Genomic DNA, 18,409 nt, shown 5'->3' on the forward strand with positions numbered 1-18,409 from the left:
TTTGGATTTTGTAGAGATAGCGTTTTGCTGTGTTGCTCAGGCTGGTCTTGAACTCCTGGGCTCAAGTGATCCTCCTACCTCAGCCTCCCAAAGTGCTGTGATTATAGGCGTGAGCCATCGTGCCCAGCAGGAAAGCAGATCTTTAAAGGAACAATTCTGAGTCCTCAATATAACAGCCACTCCACTTAATTCCTCTGCTGATCAGGAAGAGCGCGTGCCAGAGGAGGCTGTCTGCTCATCAGCGGCTGAGGGTTAGGGACACAGGCTGAGGAACCTTGATCAGAATGGTTGCTCCACAGTGACTTGAGCTCCAAGCCCTGGAGAATTGTCAGCTCCACCAGTTACAGCGAAATGTGGTCATGTAAATGAATGGATTCACTGGCATGGTGAAGTGTTTGGGAAGAGAAGTTGCCAGAAATTGGTCATTACTGCATAATCTTGGCTCAAGTAAGGCTTATGACTTCAGAGTTTTTGGATGCTACTTAGCAAAACAGATAAGCTATTGGACAGCTGGTTTTCGGGCTTAAATTTTTATCCCTCATTTGTGAGAAAACACATTCAGGGGAAGCTGCTTTTCTAGTGTGGTCTGGGCTTCCTTCCTCAGCGGAGAATCAATGGGAGCCACAGCTCAGCACTGGCGCTGGGCTCAGAGCACATATGTCCTTCAACTAGGGGACTGTGAGCCTCAAAGTGTGGGCCCTAATTTATCTATTCTGGAAGGAAATTGAGCTTTTCACTGATGATGACACCCACGTGATTGTCTGGGGAGAAAAGCTTATCTGATTTGATTCTTATAGAGATGGGGTATGACCACTCCCAGGACACCCTCCTGCCCCAGGAAAGGTGCTTGGTAACACTCCTTGTTACTCCATTTGGCAAACTATTAGGGATACCTCTGGCTTTGTCTTCTCTTTCCTTACGGTCCCAATTAACTACTGGTTTACACAGTAGGGTCTACCTTAGGCCCAGGGGCAACTCCTTTTCCTTGATGCCCTTGTGTTAATTTAAAACAATAACTATACCTTACATAATGTCAAAAGATGAGTTCCAAAGCCAAGTGGTAGGTTCTGAGGCCAATGCCACATGCACATGAACTGAGATCTGCCACTGACCGTTTTGTCTTTGATCCTGGTAAGAAGGCAGTCCTGTGGGCCACACTGTGTGAATGACAAGATGGCATTCTTCTCACCAAAGAAAGGCAACATTAGCATTATGTTGGGTCCAAAAAATATCTTCTCCCTTTTCAAATAAACTCCTTAGTGGAGCTTATTTTTAAAAACCACCTGAATATCCTAAGAAAAAAGGATGTAAAAGAACAAAAATGCGTTGCTTGGGAGAAGATGGGTGAATGCAAAAGTTCCTTATTAAGTTCCTTCTCATGTGATGTATTTTTGCAACTGGAATCACAATATCTCCACTGAAAATACTACGTTTTGGCCAATGGCTTCATGGCAAATTAACTCTTGCAAAACCTCCAATACATTCTAGGATGCTCTGTAATTCACTAAGTGTTGATCTGAATAACATCAACCCTTTATAGAAAGATTTAGTACAGACTGAAAAATGATTCAAATTCAGTTCTAGAAGTCTGACAACTATTTTTACTCAGTTTGCATTTCAACAGCCTGACAGGGGCTCTAATTTATACTTATTCTTAGAACTCTATTTAGAGCCTGTAGCTACACTTTGTAACATGTCAGAACATGAAGGAGAAATACACGCCTCTCAACGTCCAGCCTACACACTTTTCTTTTGACCCAGCCTTACGAGATCTCAAAATTTATTTGGCAATTAAGCAGTTCAAAAATGGGCAATTAAGCAGTTCAAAAATGTTAATCTAACGCTGTATTTTTCATGATAGGGTTCTGGATTCCAACCCTGGCTCTAGCTTAACTTGGAACAAATGGCTCAGCTTCTCTCTCCTGGCTTCTCCATCTCTAGAACTGCAGTGAACCATTTGATCACAGAATAGGAAGGAAGGCCCTCGATAGGGAAACAGTAGCCTGACGTGGAAGTAAAGGCGAGAGGCACTGGACGTGGAACTGGCCCTCAGGATGCGTGTCAGTGCACGACCTTTACAAGGAATGGGGATCCTGTGGGTACCAGCCTTCCAAGAAGGTTTGTGTCTATTTCCTATAACTTTATCTTAAAACTTCTCCTCTGTAATTTTCCCCACCACCCTGACTGAACTCCCACATGACAGTTTGCCTGTCATGGATGGAGTCAGAAGTACAACCACGGCCAGGTGCTACAGTGACACTACTGTGCCTGAAGCTGGTCAAGGGGCACCGATCAGCCAAAATGCCAGGCTGTAAACAATAAAGATTCTCAAAGTCTACAACCAGGGGTTGGAAACAGCTGCATCAGAGTGGTTGCTTTTGAAAGCCCCCAATGCGAGGCACTCTCAGCTCTGTTCCTGCTGTCAAGGCTGTGACCAGTCCTGCTGCTGAGATGGGCATACTCCCTACTGCCCACAGTAAGGCAAGGCAGGCTCGCTCCTGGGCTCAGGAGGTAACGCCGTCTCCTCCAGAGCTGGGCCTTTCTCTATAGGTGGCTCTACGTTATCCCGAGGGTCGCAGTGACCTGGAAGGGGCTCTGGTCTGCATGTACCTCCTTCCACAAGACCAGGTCAAGCTGAGTGGGATCTAATCCAGCCTTCACACTTCAGAGCAGCACTGGGTCTTTTAGGAAGAGTGGAAAAGCACAGGGGGAACGCACTGCAGGAGCCAAACTGTGTTTCAAGGGCTCTGCAGACAGGAACTACCTGGGAAACTCTTGAGTCAGACACAGCAGCCAGAGCCTCAGGTCAGTAGGGAAGGAAAATGAGGAAGAAAATGGATTCTTGGCCAGAGCCTGGGACCAATGCATCTGTTACATGGGAGCTAGAGGCTAGGCTGCACCAAAGCTGCCAGTTCACAGCCCATCCCCTCTCCTCAGGGGACATGCAATCCTGAGAAGACGAACCGGAACATGACACAGGAAAGCAGCAGCCTCCCCCACATGGCGACAGATCTGATGCTAATAGCTCCCTTTCCATGAAATGCTGGTTGTGCGTCACGTACTACATGTGTGCTTTTCATCCTTGTAACAACCTTGTGCTCCCACTGCACAGAGGAAAGCGGGGCCCAGGGCACTGGGGCAGGGCGGTGTGCTCAGGTTCATACAGCAAGTAAGGAGAAAACACGGTGGGGGAGAAGACAGGGTTGTGCAGGAAGGAGAAACTCGTATGTTGGGAAGGGATGAAGGGAAGGCAGTGGAGGTGTGCAGGGGACAGGTTCGTGGTAAGGTGGGGAGAAGCAGTGTGAGGGCCTCTGAAGAGCCAGGGAAGCTGGCCCTGGTTCTGCAGGGATGTGGCGACACTATAGTCTAGCTGCAGGGTTGAGAAGCAGGGAGGGCCTCTGACTGCAGAGGCAGGAAGGCCAGTCAGGAGCTGCAGTGCATCCAGGTGAGACATGGGGGTGGGGAGGAAGTGAGTGGCCACGGGCTGGAGAGAAGCGGACCCGCTCAAGGCTAATGCCCTGTGCAGTATCAGCAAGACATGGTGGGATTGGGACAAGAGGGGCAGGACAAGAGTGAATGGGCACTGCCTGCCTGTCTGCTATGTGCCAGGCATGGGGACTAATTTCTGACCTCAGGGAGCCCAGGGTCTGGTGAGGAGAGAAGCCTGCACTCAAACAGCTGGAGATCTGTGGAGACTCAACCTTGGACTTGTAGATTCTGCCTCAAAGGGTATGAACTTGTAGACTCTGCCCCTAAGGGTATGGACTGGTAGATGCTAACCCTAAGGGCACAGACTGGTAGACCACACCCTTGAGGGTATAGACTTGTAGACTACATTGTGCTGCTAAACCCCCAAGAATGGAGGACAGTCCAGGAGTCAACGGTGTGAAATAACCTGAAGCACCTACGTACTACGTGAGCTACGCCAGGCCAAGGAGGAACATGCACCAGTGGGAGGGAGAGGCCTCAAGGGGGCTTCACAACATGGGGACAGCGGCACAGTCCTTTTCCCCAAAGAGGAGCACTCCATGTGGACCGTGCAAAGGGAGGGTCAGACCAGTGTGTGCACCAACACCCCCCCCCAAGGAGGGGCTGCCTTGAGAAACCCCTCTCCCACCCCCGGCTACCGGGTTCTGCCCACAGATGCTCCCTGCTCTCTCTCTCAATGTGATCTAGCTCTGACCAGGACAAAAAGCCAATGAGACAAGATGGCATCAGGGAGGAACAAAGGACAAAGGTCAGGATGGCAGGAACTTATTTTTTCCAACAGGTGCCGAGAGCCCCATGGACTGTCTTCCACTTCCCTCCCATGGGCCATTCCGTTTTCCTCCTCCTCTCCTCCCTTCTTCTCTCCTTCTCTCTCTATCTCTCCCCTTTCCTGTTTGGCCTTTAGGCCCGTCAGTGTGCCCAGGGTTTCTGTGATGGCTCATCCTTGGGGATGGTTTGTGGCCAGGAGGTTGTGGGTAGGGAAGGAGAGAAAGAGTGAGTGAGTGAGAGGCAGATGAATGGGCAGAGTGAAGGAGCCTGCAACAGGTCCCGAGGGGCTGGGCCTGGCATTTCCCAGCGAGGGGACGCCATGGCATGGGGACTGAGCGTCTGCATGAAGCTCAAGCCTTCTGTTGAGAGCACATGTGCTGATGCACAGAAACCTGGGCCCATCTCAGAAAACGACTGTTTTGCCCAGAATGGGATGCCAGCTGCTCTGCAGACCCTTTTAAAAAAATTAAAGTCCTCAAGATGATACACACTTAACTCTCTTAGCCTGAAGTTTTTTTTTTTTTTTTAAACAGATGACAGTTATTACAGGCATTTCAATATAACTTCTACTCACAACTTGGGTCTGCTAGCAGTTTTAATTATCCAGATTCATTCTGGAAGCCAAGATGGTAAAGAAATATTTCAACAGATTTCTAGCACCCAAATAGACCTCTTAGTGAGAGTAAATACCCATAACTTTCAGTTAGCAAAGAAAGAACGTACAAGAAAGTAGTGTGCAGTATGGAGGAAGGTGTTTTTTCTTTTTTGAGACGGAGTCTTGCTCTGTTGCCCAGGCTGGAGCGCAGTGGCGCGATCTCCACTCACCGCAAGCTCCGCCTCCTGGGTTCACGCCATTCTCCTTCCTCAGCCTCCCAAGTAGCTGGGACTACAGGCGCCCGCCACCATGCCTGGCTAATTTTTTTTGTATTTTCAGTAGAGCCGGGGTTTCACCGTCTTAGCCGGGATGGTCTTGATTTCCTGACCTCGTGATCCGCCCACCTTGGCCTCCCAAAGTGCTGGGATTGCAGGCGTGAGCCACTGCACCCAGCCGGAGGAAGGTGTTTTTTCCAATGCCAACCCTGCAGCACCGGCAGGGCACAGGCAGCCCTAATGGTTACTGAGAGATTCTGCATCTCTCGGTCTGAAGCCTGTGCAGGGGACGGTTGGAGGGACTCCCTGGGACCAACTCGTGGGAGGTGCTGGTGAGAGAGAAGCCCAGCAAACAGTCGAGTCCAGGCCCGGCAGAGCCTGCGGATGGGGAGGACTGGCTTTTCCTGGAGTGGAGGTTCTGGGGAGACGGGAGGGCTGGCTGTCATCATTCCCCTCATTACCTTATTCTAAGTGTTTACATTTGAGATGACCTTCCCGAATGGATGCTGGGCTTCCTGGCCTCCATGCCTCTGGCAGGTCCTTCTGTTTGGAACATCTTGACTTGCTTTCCCTGTCCTTTAGCTCCTAAAAATCCCGACTGCCCTTCAAGTCACAGTTCAAGCTCCACCTCCAGCCCCCACGACCCTGTCCTTGCTCCGCCACCCACAAGGTTTCTATGCCTACAACTCTCATGTCATTCCTCACACGTGCTTTCATGTGGTGTGAACTTGTATGTTACATACAAGGTATCTTAAGACTCCCATATATTCCAGGGATAAAAACCATGACGTGGCCAGGCGCAGTGGCTCACGCCTGTAATCCCAGCACTTTGGGAGGCCGAGGTGGGCAGATCACCTGAGGTCAGGAGTTTGAGACCAGCCTGGCCAACGTGGTGAAACCCCATCTCTACTAAAAATACAAAAAATTAGCTGGGCGTTGTGGAGGGCGGCTGTAATCCCAGCTACTCCGGAGGCTGAGGCAGGAGAACGCTTGAACCTGGGAGGCGGAGGTTGCAGTGAGCCGAGATCGTGCCACTGAACTCCAGTCTGGGCAACAGAGCAAGACTCCATCTCAAAAACAAAAACAAAAAACCAAAAGCCATGACGCACTCAGACCCAAAATTAATTAATATGTGTGCAGATGTTCTTTGGTTCTGCGCAGGCTTCATGCCCGTCTTCCTCAGCCTGCTGACCCGTGGCCCTGCTTTGCTCGGGGCCATCCTCCTCAACTGCATGTCTTTTGCAACCCGGCCTGGAAAAGTTGATGTCCTGAGCTTGCTGAATTAAACCCATCCCTGGTATCAGGGAAGGAGTGAATGAGAATACTTCTCAGTATCCACCTCCATTTAAATTGTTCCACACAGGTTTAGTGCCCTACAAATTCCCTTGGCAAGAGGTTTTCAATGGTTAGAATCTTTTAGTGGAAATAATCGTCCACTGTGCCAAGAACCACGTGAGGTGTCTTCAGATTTGTCAACTGCTGTGTTTCCAAGGGGCACTCCTTCAGAGTTCCATGCTGGACAAACCATACAGGCCCAGGAGCAATGAATGAAGAAAGTCAGGAATAAAGGGCCGCTCTGATAGTAATCCAAAGCTCTATGTCTGGGGCTCATCTCAGAATTTAACCAAAGGATATATGAAGGACATGTTGGCACCGTACTGAATCCCTTCTCTGAGGTTCCGGCATACTGGGTGCTGAATGTCCCAAACCTGGCCATTACTAATGGTTCCTGAGGTATTCTCCTTTTAATGACATAAGGACCTTATAAGGTCCTTCCCTCAGGCTCCTTGGTGGGCTTTTTGCTAAGAATGCAGTGTTTTAGACACAAGATGTCTTAAGGCTCTTGTATGTCCCAGGGATAAAAACTATGACGTACTCATAACCAAACTTAATTAAAACGTCCTCGAATTTAATTTTGTAGCGAACAGTCCAGTTCATTCATAGTCCTCTAACCCTAACTGCTCAAAAGGGATATTGTGGAAACTCTAAGGGGAAAGAAAACAAAAACAAAAATCTAGCTCAGTCAAGAGCTCGGATTGTCTAAAGGCCAAGTTTCGCAAGATTTGTGAAAGGAGCTTGCCAGAGGTGCCTCTGAGGAAACCAGGGGCTTCTGTGTGGCCACAGCAGGGTGAGGGGAGCGCATCTTCCCAGCATGAGTAGGGATGCTGGGGGCTCTAAGGCGTGAGGCCTCAGTACCCATTGGGAGAATGCACTCCAAGGTCCTCAGACAGGCAGGACCATCTTGGTCGAAGGCACTGGGCATTGGACTGCCCACCCTGGGCACAGATGGAAACCAGACAAGACCAAACTGGGAACTTGAGTTTGGATAAGTCTTTAAAAGTCACTCGGTCCAAACTCATCATTTACAGAGGGGGAAAAAAGGCCAAACAGGTTAACTCTCATGTGTAAAGTTAGAAACAGAACAAGACTAGAATCCAGAACTCTTATTACTAAGACAATGAGAGCAAGAACAGTAATAAGCTTTCTAAGCTTACTACATACCTAGACATTTCATATAATTTTACTTAATTTTCACACTTACAAAATATGAGGCAAGTAAAATCCAGTCCCAAAGGAAAGACGCTGAAGCATCTTTGGCGGGGGGCCATGGGGGGAGAATTGCACTGCCCAAGGCCAAACTTCTTTCAAGTGGGACTCGAAATTGTTCTAGAGTTCTTTCCCCTGTGCTAAGTTTCATTTTAACAGACGAAAGGGAGAATGGTGGCCATTTTGGTTCCTGGACATGCGCAGATGCCAGTGAAAGACTCCCCTCTTCAGTGTCAGCCCCTAGGCTTCAGCAGTAAACTGTTTACCCAAATGGCTGCAGCCCATTCCCTTCCTGGACCCATGCCCCGTGCAACATGACTTAGTAGCAACTACCATCAAGAGGCAGAAGCAACTTCCCTGCTCCCTGAATCTGGGCTGGCCTTGTAATTTAACTGAGCAAATGCAATGGAACAGGCATCACACTACTTCTGAGCTGAGGCCCTAAGGGGCCTTGCACGCTTCCATTTGTTATTTTTGGAAGCCCGCCAGCTGTCATGTGAACAAGCCCAGGCCAGCCTGATGGAAGTGACAGACTACATGGGTCACAGCCAAATCAGCCCCATTGTCTCAGCTCAGGTCCCAGGGATGTCAGTGAGTTCAGCCAAAATTGGCCAAGCCTGGGCCAGAGCAGCACACCCATCCTGCTACCCCCTGTCCTAAGCAGTGACAAATGCTCACTATTATTTTAAGCCACCAAGTTTTGGGTGGTTTGTTATGCAGCAAAAGCAAACTAATACATCCCTGAGAGTCAAACCATCCTGCGCTAGTGAAGCCTGCTCTCCTCGACCTGGCTTTCTACGTGAGGAATAGTACCACCCATCTACTCATCCATCTCATCTATCTTATCTATTTATTTTGAGACAGGGTTTCACTATGTTGCCCAGGCTGGACTTGAACTCTGGAGTTCAGGTGATCCTCCTGTCTCAGCCTCCTGAGGAGTGGGGACTACAGGTGAGTGACACCACACCTGGCTATATTCCTTTTTAATCCTGGAACACAGAGGGCTGATCCAAGGTCCAAAGCGAGATTGGGATAAAAAGGCTAAAATGTCTCTGTCAGTTTATGCCAGACTGGTGATGCTCCCAAGGTGGCCACTCACATTTCCCATGCCTGCCCCTGCCTCACCTGGATGCCTCATGGTCTTTAAGGCCCCAGAGAACCAACCATTCATAGCCTTCCCATCTAGGTGTAGGGACCCGCAGAAGGGCAGGGGCCGCGACGGGCAGCAGAACACATGGCTGAGGCACACGCTTCCAAGGAACGGCCCTGTTCACGCGTTTCCAAGTAAAGAACAGCAGGGAGCAACTCACCGAGGGCACGGGCAAGCTGCCGTGCCGGCTGAGAAAGGAGTTAGAGACGGACACACTGAGGCCCTGAGCGGCACTGCCGTCCTCGGGGGTGAAGGCCACTTTAGTTTGCTGGACACAGTGGGAGACAGAGGAGAAGGAAGAAGCAGCACAGGAGGCCTGCTGGACAGAGGGGAGGAGAGAGAAGGCAGGGAAGGAGGGAGAGAAGCAGAGAACAGTCAGGTCCGTGCAGGGAAAGGCCGTGGAGGTTGCTCTCCACATCCTCTAACAGACGTTCTGGAGAGGGATGGCTTCTGGGCCCAGTTCAGGGACTAAAACCAGCTGCCGAAGGCCATCTGCATGAAAGGGCACCCTCCTTCATTTCCTTACACTAGATCCTAAAAATTGTGTCCACTGGAAGCAGGTTGGGTGGAAGGAGGACGAGGGGGCTGGAGCCACACAGAACTGGGCTGACTCTGGGCTTGGAGCTGCTCCTCTGTGGGGAGTGGATCCATGTGTCATTCACACGTCTTCAGAACTCAGACGGGGCTCCGGCAGCCTGGGTTTGAGTCTGGACCCTGCCATTTCTCACCCGTTTGGCCTTGGGCACTACTTAAAGGTCTCCGTGCCTCAGGTTTTCCATCTGTAAAATGGGGATAACCCTAGTGTCTCCTGTACAGGGCTGTTGGGAGGATGAAATGGGATGATACGTGTGAAGCACTTGAAATATTGCTTACCACACTGTACATGGGCCAACAGGTGTGTGTAATGAGCACCATTTTTGTCTGTGAAGTGTGGATAACGCTTCCTGCATCTGCATTTGAGAGAGGGTGTGACCAGCAGCTGGCAGGACCTGTCAGGTGGTATGCCTGGGCTGTCATTAGGATTGGGTGTGGCTCCCAGGTCTTCTGTTTCTAGCTGTGGGCTTGGATTAAGGTTCGCTGGCTCTGTCTGCCTCAATTTACTTATAATGGGGATGCCAGGAGCTGTGGCAGGGACCATGTAGAGCCAGATGAGAGCCCTGGTGCTTACCTGGGGAGGTGTTCAACACAGATGTTCCTAACAGGCCTCCGGGGGCTGAGCTCGCCACTGCCCTGCAGGCGTGGTAGAACAGGTTCTGATTCCACGTGCTCCCTAGGGGTGTCTCCCCAAATATTCAGAAGCCTGTGGACTCCACAGTATGGAGAAGATGCCCAAGGATGGCAAATGGGCCGAAAATATTTTCAATAAATCTGGCTCAGCAATGGCTTTTTTTTTTTTTTAGACAGGGTCTCACTATGTTGTCCAGGCTGGTCTTGAACTCCTGGGATCAAGTGATCCTCCACCTCAGCCTCCCAAGTAGCTGGGAATATAGGCATGTGCCACCACCACTCCTGGCTCTCGGCAACAGTTCTAACCAAACATTTTAGGCAAGGGGTCTCTAAATGAGGCATTTATGTTTCCATGGTGGGACCCTTTTTGAAACATCTTCAGAGCAATTGAGATTCACATTCTCAATTGTGTCTGTGGGACGGGCAGGGCAGGTGAGGATCTGAGACTCTGAAAATGGCACGTGCGACACGGCTAACAAGTGGCAGGACTGGAATTCAGGACTCCCAACTCCAAGCTTGGCCTTTCCTCTACTGGACATGGCCACCTCTGAAGTGGCTGAGTGTGGTTTTTGAGTGGAAACAAAACAGCTTGCTTGGTTAGCCACAGCCCACTGAGTATAGGAAGGCTCAGGAACTCCTGGGACTGGGCTGAGCCCCAGGTGATTGATTATACGGAGTAATCCAGGGACATTTGTCCTCCAGTCTGCAGCTGCCTCCCAGAAGAATCAGATGGCCCCTCATGTCCTCTCGCAATGGATAAAAGATGGCCCAGTGCACACCAGTCGCCTCCTGGTAGAAGCCACCAGACTGGCCAGCACACGAGAGCAGCAGCCCAGGCAGCTCTGAACAAGCCTGGAGCTCCCTGCTGGGGAGCTTCCTCTTCCTGGGGAGCATGGCTGGACAAGAGGCTCAGATCTTCAAACCTGACTAGGGCCCTCCATGTTCATTAACTGGCAGCAAAGGGAGAAAGTTTGGAGGGATGCCACAGGTACCCCCGATCTGCTCACCCTCCCAGTGCCTGGGCAGTTCCAGAGCCTCATGGGGTGCCCACGGTGGAACAGCTTGCCTTCTGTGCTGGCCCGTGCTTCCTTACATGCACAGGAGTCCTTAGCACACGAGTGTTTTCTAGAAGAGGAAGGTGCCATGTCTGAAACAGAGTGGCTCTGTTTAAAGCCATCCTCCACTTCAATGGCACTTGTTTTCCTTGGGCCCTCCCCGGCCAAGGCTGGGTTGTAAGTCACTCTACACAGTTAGGCCCATTATGCCAATCAAGTCCACAGATGGCTGTGCACAGACCATGTCCTGTGCTTTGATTGAGTCCCTCCTTTCTGGGAGGTCTATGTTGAAGCCAAAGAAGAAAGAAAAAAATACAAGAGACTGTCAGCAGAGAGAGCAAACACCCTGAGTACAAGCCTGTCCCTGCTGCGCGGGGCTGCTGTGGAAAAGAAAGGTCCCTGCACCCCAGGGTGGGGAGGTGGTGGAGTGGGCGCTGGGCTGCTGGTGAGCATCTAAGGAGGAAGTAAAAGCATCTGTGTGGGAGATGGTGCCTTCCACGCCCAAAACCAGGGCCCTGCCACAGCAGGGAGGAGGGTTAACCCTGCCCCCAAGGAGGGTCATTCTGGTTCCTAGAGACCTGCTAGGATCGGAAGTTCTAGTCACAAGGGAAGGTGTCACTCACCAGCTGCCGCTGCTTGGGGGGTAGGGCGGGCGGCGGGGCCAGCTCCTGCACGGAGTCCACCCCACTGAAGGAGTCGCTGAAGCCGTATACCTCCATGAGGAGCTTGTTCTTCTGCTGGTAGATGTGCTCGTTCTGTGGCGTCTGGTAGAACATAGAGGGCTGCGGCTCCGAGTAGTCCTCCAGCAACTGCATGTAGGCCAGCACTGTGAAACAAGGGAGAAAGCTGCAGCGAGGCCGGGGGAGGCCACATCAGGGAACCCCTCCCCCCATTCTTCCCACAGCAGCTAGGGGGCTTTCCACTGAAAGCACCTCAGAGAGGGACGAACAGACGGAGCACGGAGGACTTTTCGGGCAATGAAATCACACTCTGTCTGATGCGCTAACGGAGGAGACACGTCCAGACCGGCAGACGCGCAACACCAATGGGGAACCCTAATGTGAACTGGGGACTCAAGCGAGGGCACATGGCGGGTGCAGGGATGGCAAGTCTCAGCTACCTCCTGAGCAGGCACTTTCCCCTCGAGGCATGTCGCAAGTGCCACGAGCAGCTGCCAGGTGGAGCTGAGATTCAGATGCCAAGAAAAAGTGGTGGCTCTGCAGTGCTAAATTTTGTATCTTCAAATAAGCACAAAGCCAGAGGCTTCTCTGCAAACCCCAACTAGTCAACAAATCAAGGAAGGCCAGACACTGAGCTGAGGAAGACAGTCACAGAGGTAGGGAGTTTATTTCTTCCCTGAGCCACACTGGGGGTCCAGGTATAGAGGAAATGCTCTCTCTCCAGGAGTGTCACTGAAGGAAAGTGTTCAAAGTCACCTTCTTTATTTAAAAGAATATGTAAGAATTTCTTACTAGCTCCAACAAGCACCGAGCAGAACTTGGTTGTAAAAGATGCACAGGAAGAAATGGTTCCCCTCTGAGGTCAGCTGCTGCTACTGAAAGGGCAGCTCACAGCCCCTTGAGCTTGTCTCACACTTCCTTTTTTTTTTTTTGAGACAGAGTTTCGCTCTTGTTGCCCAGGCTGGAGTGTAGTGGTGCAATCTCGGCTCACTGCAACCTCCACCTCATGGGTTCAAGCGATCCTCCTGCCTCAGTCTACTGAGTAGCTGGGATTATAGGCATGCACCACCGTGTCCAGCTAATTTTTGTATTTTTAGTAGAGATGGGGTTTTGCCATGTTGGTCTGGCTGGTCTTGAACTCCTGAACTCAGGTAATCCACCTGGCTCGTCCTCCCAAAGTGCTGGGATTACAGGTGTGAGCCACCAAGCCCAGCCCCACACTTCCTCTTTAATGCTGCACAACCAATGTCACCAGGCTCCAGACGAAGAGGCAAGCCTAGGAAGGTGATCCCAAGCACCCACAAACTGCTCCCTAAAAAGACTAAATATGACCGGGCGCACTGGCTCATGCCTACAATCCCAGTGCTTTGGGAGGCTGAGGGAGGAGGGTCACTTGAGGCTAGTTCAACACCAGCCTGGGCAACATAGTGAGACCCCCGTCTCTAAAAAGAAAAAAGAAAAGAAAAAAATTAGCAATGGTGGTATGTGCCTATGGTCCCAGCTATTCAAGAGGCTGAGGTGGGGGGATCCCTTGAACCCAGGAGTTCAAGGTTGCAGTGAGCTATGGAAAAAAGAAAAAGATTAAACACAACCATCTCTGCCTGACTTTTCTGTAAAACTGTGATCTCTTCAGGAGGTCTTTCTGAACTCTTGATGTTGAAGTCCTTGTAGACACCTGCTAGCCAAGCACAGAACAGCAGTGATGCTCCCAGCCTTCTAGAAATGAGGAGGACCCAGTCCATTTCAAAAGCAGCCCAGAGGCTGATTTTAGAGGCCTTGCTCCTAACACAGCCAGCATTGCTGGGAAGGTTCAGCCGCCAGTGCTCAGGGCCTGGGACTGTGGGGATTTCAGGTGCCGGACAGTGATCACAAGGCTCGTCTGGCACAAGGGACTCATGGGGCTGCTCCGGGCAAGAGGGGCTGGGGACCCTCACGATGTCAGTGCATCCCAAATGATGAGGACACGTCGTGACATTGGGACTGAGCGTGCATGAACTCAGGCCAGCGTTAGCCACGCGGCCAGGGTGATGATTCTTTCCTTCTTTCCCTCAAAGCAATTTTGAGGCATTTTCCACAAGGTCACCTGAGGGTCCCCTCGGGGAGTGAACAGCAGACTGGGGACAAGGATGAGGCTCAGGGTGCCTAAGTTTGGGGCTCTTTCACAGGGTACGGAGAAGACCAACCCCTGCACAGGGGTCAATACTGTAAACTGGATGGGATCTCAAGGAAGGAGGGCTGAATCTCTTCCTCCTCGGCTTGGGAGGAAGTGTAACAGGCTTGTACAACTCAGGCCAGGCTCTCAGTCCCAGATCTGTGCCCCACTTGCTTGTTGATCTTGGGCAATACTCAGTTCTTCTGAGCTCCAGTTTCTCTACCTATGAAATTGGAGGTAATAGAGCCTGCCTTGCAGGTGGCTGTCAGGACTACCTTCCATAGGGCATGTGAAGCTTTAGCTCAGGGCACACCATGGCTGTAGCTCAGGAGTTTTTTAGAGGTTTGCAGGCTCCAGTGCTGGAGACAGTGATGAATTGGTTAAAGCCTCAAAATGGTGGCCTAAATTAATAGGGATTTTCAGCCACTTGAGACTGTTTGAAAGGAAACAATGGCTACCCCTCCCTTTCCTTCTCCCCTCTATAGACCCTGCATGAGGACCGCCACCCACACTTGTTCTAGGAGCTGGAAGGGTAAGGCTCTCTGGCATCTGCTGCAGCTTGCAAGGATGCCATCCTGCCCAGTGTCTGAGCTCAGAGGACCCCTCCCCTAGGGAAGGAAAGGGGGTGAACCTGAATGGCACGCAGCCCAAGATAACAGGGGTGGAGGGGGAGGCCAACAGCTCTTTAAACACTTGTCCATGCAGAGGGAGGGGAAGAGAAGGAAATGCTTCTGGCAGTGCCATTGCACACCCCTCTGCGGGAGCCCTGGTTTCTGATGAGCAAATATACACGACAGATGGGGATGACATCATTAGTCCCACAGAGCCAGCTCTCCCTCTAGCTGGGGGACCACACTGCTGAGGCCATCACACAAGCTGGGCAACACCCACTGAGGAGCTGGGGATACATGACATCATCGCAGCCGCCGCCTTCTGTGGACCACGCAGCCAGCCCTCAGGGCGACCCTTGCTGGACTGAACCAAGCCAGGTCTTCCCTTCTTTGAGAATGGGGCCCAGCTCTAAGCTGGGCTCAGAAGCTCTCATTTGGGAATTTGGAGTAGAGATTCCATTTCTAGGTCATAGAAGTTCTCTGCTGGATGTGTCAACTGAGGCCAGGGAAGCCTGGGGCTGTGTGGCTAATGTGACCACACACATTGAAACGGTGACAGCTGTGCTGCCAAGAAAATCGAAGCAGAACTATGCTAGTGAAGCAGGGAGAGGGCGGGGACAGAGGGGGCCAGGCAAGTCCCAGAAGTGTGGAGCAGTTAGGGGAGCTAGGAGAAAACCGAATTTCCAGGAGAACTCTCCTTATTACTTTTATGACAGATTTACCGTTGGAAAATATTCAAAACTTCAGCTCCAACCCTGGGCTCCAATAACATCATATATTAAAATGTCTGGTCCAAGAAGTGTGCTGAATTACTCCTGCTGGGCAACCCCAGCTTCCAAGTCATTCTGGGAGCATGAACAGAGACAGTGTGCTCTAGACAGGGATCCTTAGACAATCACTCTGTGGAAACTAGGCAAGTTCTGCTGAAATTCACGTATCCACCTCGCTCTACACAGATGTTGCTGCAATGCTGTCCTGCGTGCCAGGACACTCGTTCCCCTCTGTCACTGTGATCAGGCCAGAAGGTCAACTGCTGCCATCTAAAGAGGAGAATCCCTCAGGCTACATGGAGACCGGACCTGAGATTGTATAGAAACTGTAAAGGAGAGGTCAGCTGATGAGGCTTTAAAAATGATCACGTGTAATGACAAAACCTGGCTCCCAGAAGTGTCCACATACCTGGCTGGCCTATCTTTTATGAAATAATGAGGCCACTGATTTGATTCTGGTCTAATGCTGAAATAAAACATACTGCCATTTCAGGTTATAAAATGCACTTCCTGACAACAGTGCAACAAAGGCTTACTGTGTTTGTTTTTCTTCTCTGGTAGAGGAGGTGGTTTTTCTGGGTCACCGGTTGACTCAGGAGCAGTAAAATCACCCACAAATTCGACAGGGGCTGAGGAACCTCCATGCTGAAAGGGCAGAATAGCAGCAAAGGGCGCGTAGGGGACGGATGGGATCGGGGCTGTGCTCTGCAGGTCCTCCCCAGAGATGTTGTCATACTGCGAGGGATGCCGCTCGTAGGACACCCTGCAGCCAGAGCCGTCCGCCGTCTGGGAGGCTGCGCTCCTGCGCTTCTTCTCGGGGAGAGCAGGTGGCGTATCTGTCTGCTGCCCTGGGGCCAGAGGTCCGTCTGGCTGGGGATGGCCGCCAAGAGGCAGCTGGAAAGGAGGGCCAAGAAATGGAGACCCAGACTCCCCCAAAGACTCTGGCAACGGGCTAAGGTTCCAGGCCGTCTGCTGAGGTATCTGGTCTGCGTTAGAGAGGTCTTGCTGGAGGAATTCATAGTCGGGATCATAGTGGTCTGCAGTTACAACAGGGGAAAAAGAGACCCGTTAGCCACAGGCCCTGCAGGAGCAGCCAGCTCCCCCCGCCCGCCTCTCGCCGGCTCGCTCATGGGTGTGTGACAAAGACCTGTCTCCAGGGCTTATTTTATATTCACATGTTATATTCTTCATTCTTCTCCCTGATTATAAAAGCAAACCAGATGGGAATATGGCTGTTTGCTATACTTTTATTTTTTACATTTCTTATTTAAAAAAAAAATACACAACCATTACGGAAACTGTGGCAAATTACATCAAGAAAATAAAAATCACCCACAGTACCATAATCTAACTGTACTTTCTATTTACATTTTGAAGTATTTCCTTAAATGACTTTTTTGCCTATACAATTCCTTTTTGAAAAAGCCTAACTGAGGGCCACGCGGTGGCTCACGCCTGTAATCCCAGCACTCTGTGAGGCCGAGGCGGGCCGATCAGTTGAGGCCAGGAGTTCAATACCAGCCTGGCCAATGTGGCAAAACCCCGTCTCTACTAAAAATACAAAAATTGGCTGGGCACGCTGGCCCACTTTGGGAGGCTGAGGTGGGCAGATCACCTAGAGTTCAAGACCAGCCTGGTCAACATGGTGAAATCCCGTCTCTACTAAAAAGACAAAAAAATTAGCCGGGCGTGGTGGCACACACCTGTAATCCCAGCTGCTTGGGAGGCTGAGGCAGGAGAATCACTTGAACCCGGGAGGCGGAGGTTGCAGTGAGCCCAGATCATGTCACTACACTCCAGCCTGGGTGACAGAGTGAGGCTCTGTCTCAAAAAAAAAAAAAAAAAAAAAAAAAAAAGAAACAATTGAGAATACTATGTAAATGGTCCTGTACTTTTTCTAGTTATCAATATGAGTGATTTTTAATAGCTACAGATTATTCCAGCAAATGAATGTACCATAATTCATCTGATTTCCTACCAATGAAAATCTTGCTATTAATCACTGATTATGCTCCTAGGATACATTCTCAGAAGTGAAAATATCTAGTTCACAGGATACGAACAGCTTCCTGCTCTCTAAGCCCCCTGCCCAGCAGACTCGGAGGGGCCCGCACAGTACACATTCAGCACTGACTAACGAGAAGGCCGGCTCGCGCGGCTCCCTCCCCTTCAGCCTCTGTCAAGTGTTGTCAGGACCCCCACCCCTTTGTTTAAAGCTCTCAACACAAATGGCTCTTAATTTTGGTAAAGAGAGTCAAATTACTCACTGACAGATGAACTAACAGTCACCGCTTGAATATCTAGGCTGTGGTTTTACATTGTGATTTCATTTACATGCTCAACTTCCTTGGGAGGCAGATACTGTTATCCATATTTTGCAGATGAGGAAGCTGAGGCTCAGATTTTAAACAAGTCAGCCAAAGCCACGTAGTCAATGATTGCATGACCTGGGACTCCCACCCAGGACTGTAATGGCCCCAGAGAAGCCACCGAGACACGATGGAACAGGAGGATGGTGGCGGCTCACCTAGTGTTTCACAGCTTGTGTTCCGGGAGCACTGCCCACTGTCCCTGTCCAGAGAGGACAGCTGCTCGTCTGACTTGCTGAGCTTGCCTATGCTGCTGCAGGGGGAGAGGCGGGGCGACTCTCCACCATATGAGTGGCTGCCTCCTGACAGTCGCCTCTGTGCGTAACAGTCAACATCAAAATCCTCAAGTGGAAAAAGAAAAACAAAGCCAAATCACTTCTGAGAAACGGTGGCACAGACCAGGGGTGAGGCAACCGGTGCATTTACTTAGAGAAGGAAATACTGCCAGGCGAACTCAGAAACCACCTCTGACGTCAGTAGTCGAAGGACACATACAGCTGAGAAGCAGCCATCTGGAGTTTGTGGGGGGTGTGGCCAGGGAGGGCCCTGGGGCTGGACTCACCTATCCCCAGGAGACGCCCTTTGGCTCTGCCCTCCCTGCCCTGACCCTTATCCCCATATGGGAACTTGGACCGTGTCCTGGAGAGAGAGGGATGGGTACAAGGTCTCGCACTCCTCGATGTGACAAACACCAGCGCCTGAAGACCATGGGTTTCTTTCA

General features: G+C 50.9%; 1 protein-coding gene across 29 annotated transcripts in view, besides 4 other annotated features; it reads right to left on the reverse strand.

Annotated features, from left to right (window-relative positions):
• Positions 1 to 18,409, reverse strand: part of RAPGEF1 (Rap guanine nucleotide exchange factor 1) — a 163,302-nt gene that overhangs the window by 33,292 nt on the left and 111,601 nt on the right. For 12 of the 29 annotated variants that reach the window (NM_001377938.1, XM_005272186.5, XM_011518572.3 and 9 more), the window contains 4 exons: positions 17,847 to 18,030; positions 15,856 to 16,356; positions 11,730 to 11,932; positions 8,985 to 9,143 (listed from right to left, as the gene is read on the reverse strand). In NM_001377938.1, coding sequence (NP_001364867.1) covers positions 8,985 to 9,143; positions 11,730 to 11,932; positions 15,856 to 16,356; positions 17,847 to 18,030 — 1,047 coding nt within the window. Of the gene's footprint in view, positions 1 to 8,984; positions 11,389 to 11,729; positions 11,933 to 15,855; positions 16,357 to 17,846; positions 18,031 to 18,409 lie in introns of those variants that run through there. The other 17 variants (NM_001377937.1, NM_001304275.2, NM_005312.4 and 14 more) reach the window with 4 other exon arrangements.
• Positions 8,526 to 9,492: an enhancer, noted in NCBI's record as "H3K27ac-H3K4me1 hESC enhancer chr9:134493979-134494945 (GRCh37/hg19 assembly coordinates)". NCBI's record gives its function as "activates a minimal SCP1, AML or CMV promoter by ChIP-STARR-seq in naive H9 embryonic stem cells {active_cell/tissue: H9 hESC(naive)}" and the evidence as "EXISTENCE:reporter gene assay evidence [ECO:0000049][PMID:30033119]".
• Positions 11,386 to 11,455: an enhancer, noted in NCBI's record as "active region_29196". NCBI's record gives its function as "activates an Ori minimal core promoter by ATAC-STARR-seq in GM12878 lymphoblastoid cells {active_cell/tissue: GM12878}" and the evidence as "EXISTENCE:reporter gene assay evidence [ECO:0000049][PMID:35858748]".
• Positions 14,407 to 14,907: an enhancer, noted in NCBI's record as "H3K4me1 hESC enhancer chr9:134499860-134500360 (GRCh37/hg19 assembly coordinates)". NCBI's record gives its function as "activates a minimal SCP1, AML or CMV promoter by ChIP-STARR-seq in naive H9 embryonic stem cells {active_cell/tissue: H9 hESC(naive)}" and the evidence as "EXISTENCE:reporter gene assay evidence [ECO:0000049][PMID:30033119]".
• Positions 18,188 to 18,237: an enhancer, noted in NCBI's record as "active region_29197". NCBI's record gives its function as "activates an Ori minimal core promoter by ATAC-STARR-seq in GM12878 lymphoblastoid cells {active_cell/tissue: GM12878}" and the evidence as "EXISTENCE:reporter gene assay evidence [ECO:0000049][PMID:35858748]".

Source organism: Homo sapiens, chromosome 9 (assembly GCF_000001405.40).
Source record: "Homo sapiens chromosome 9, GRCh38.p14 Primary Assembly".
NCBI classification, from domain to species: Eukaryota; Metazoa; Chordata; class Mammalia; order Primates; family Hominidae; genus Homo; species Homo sapiens.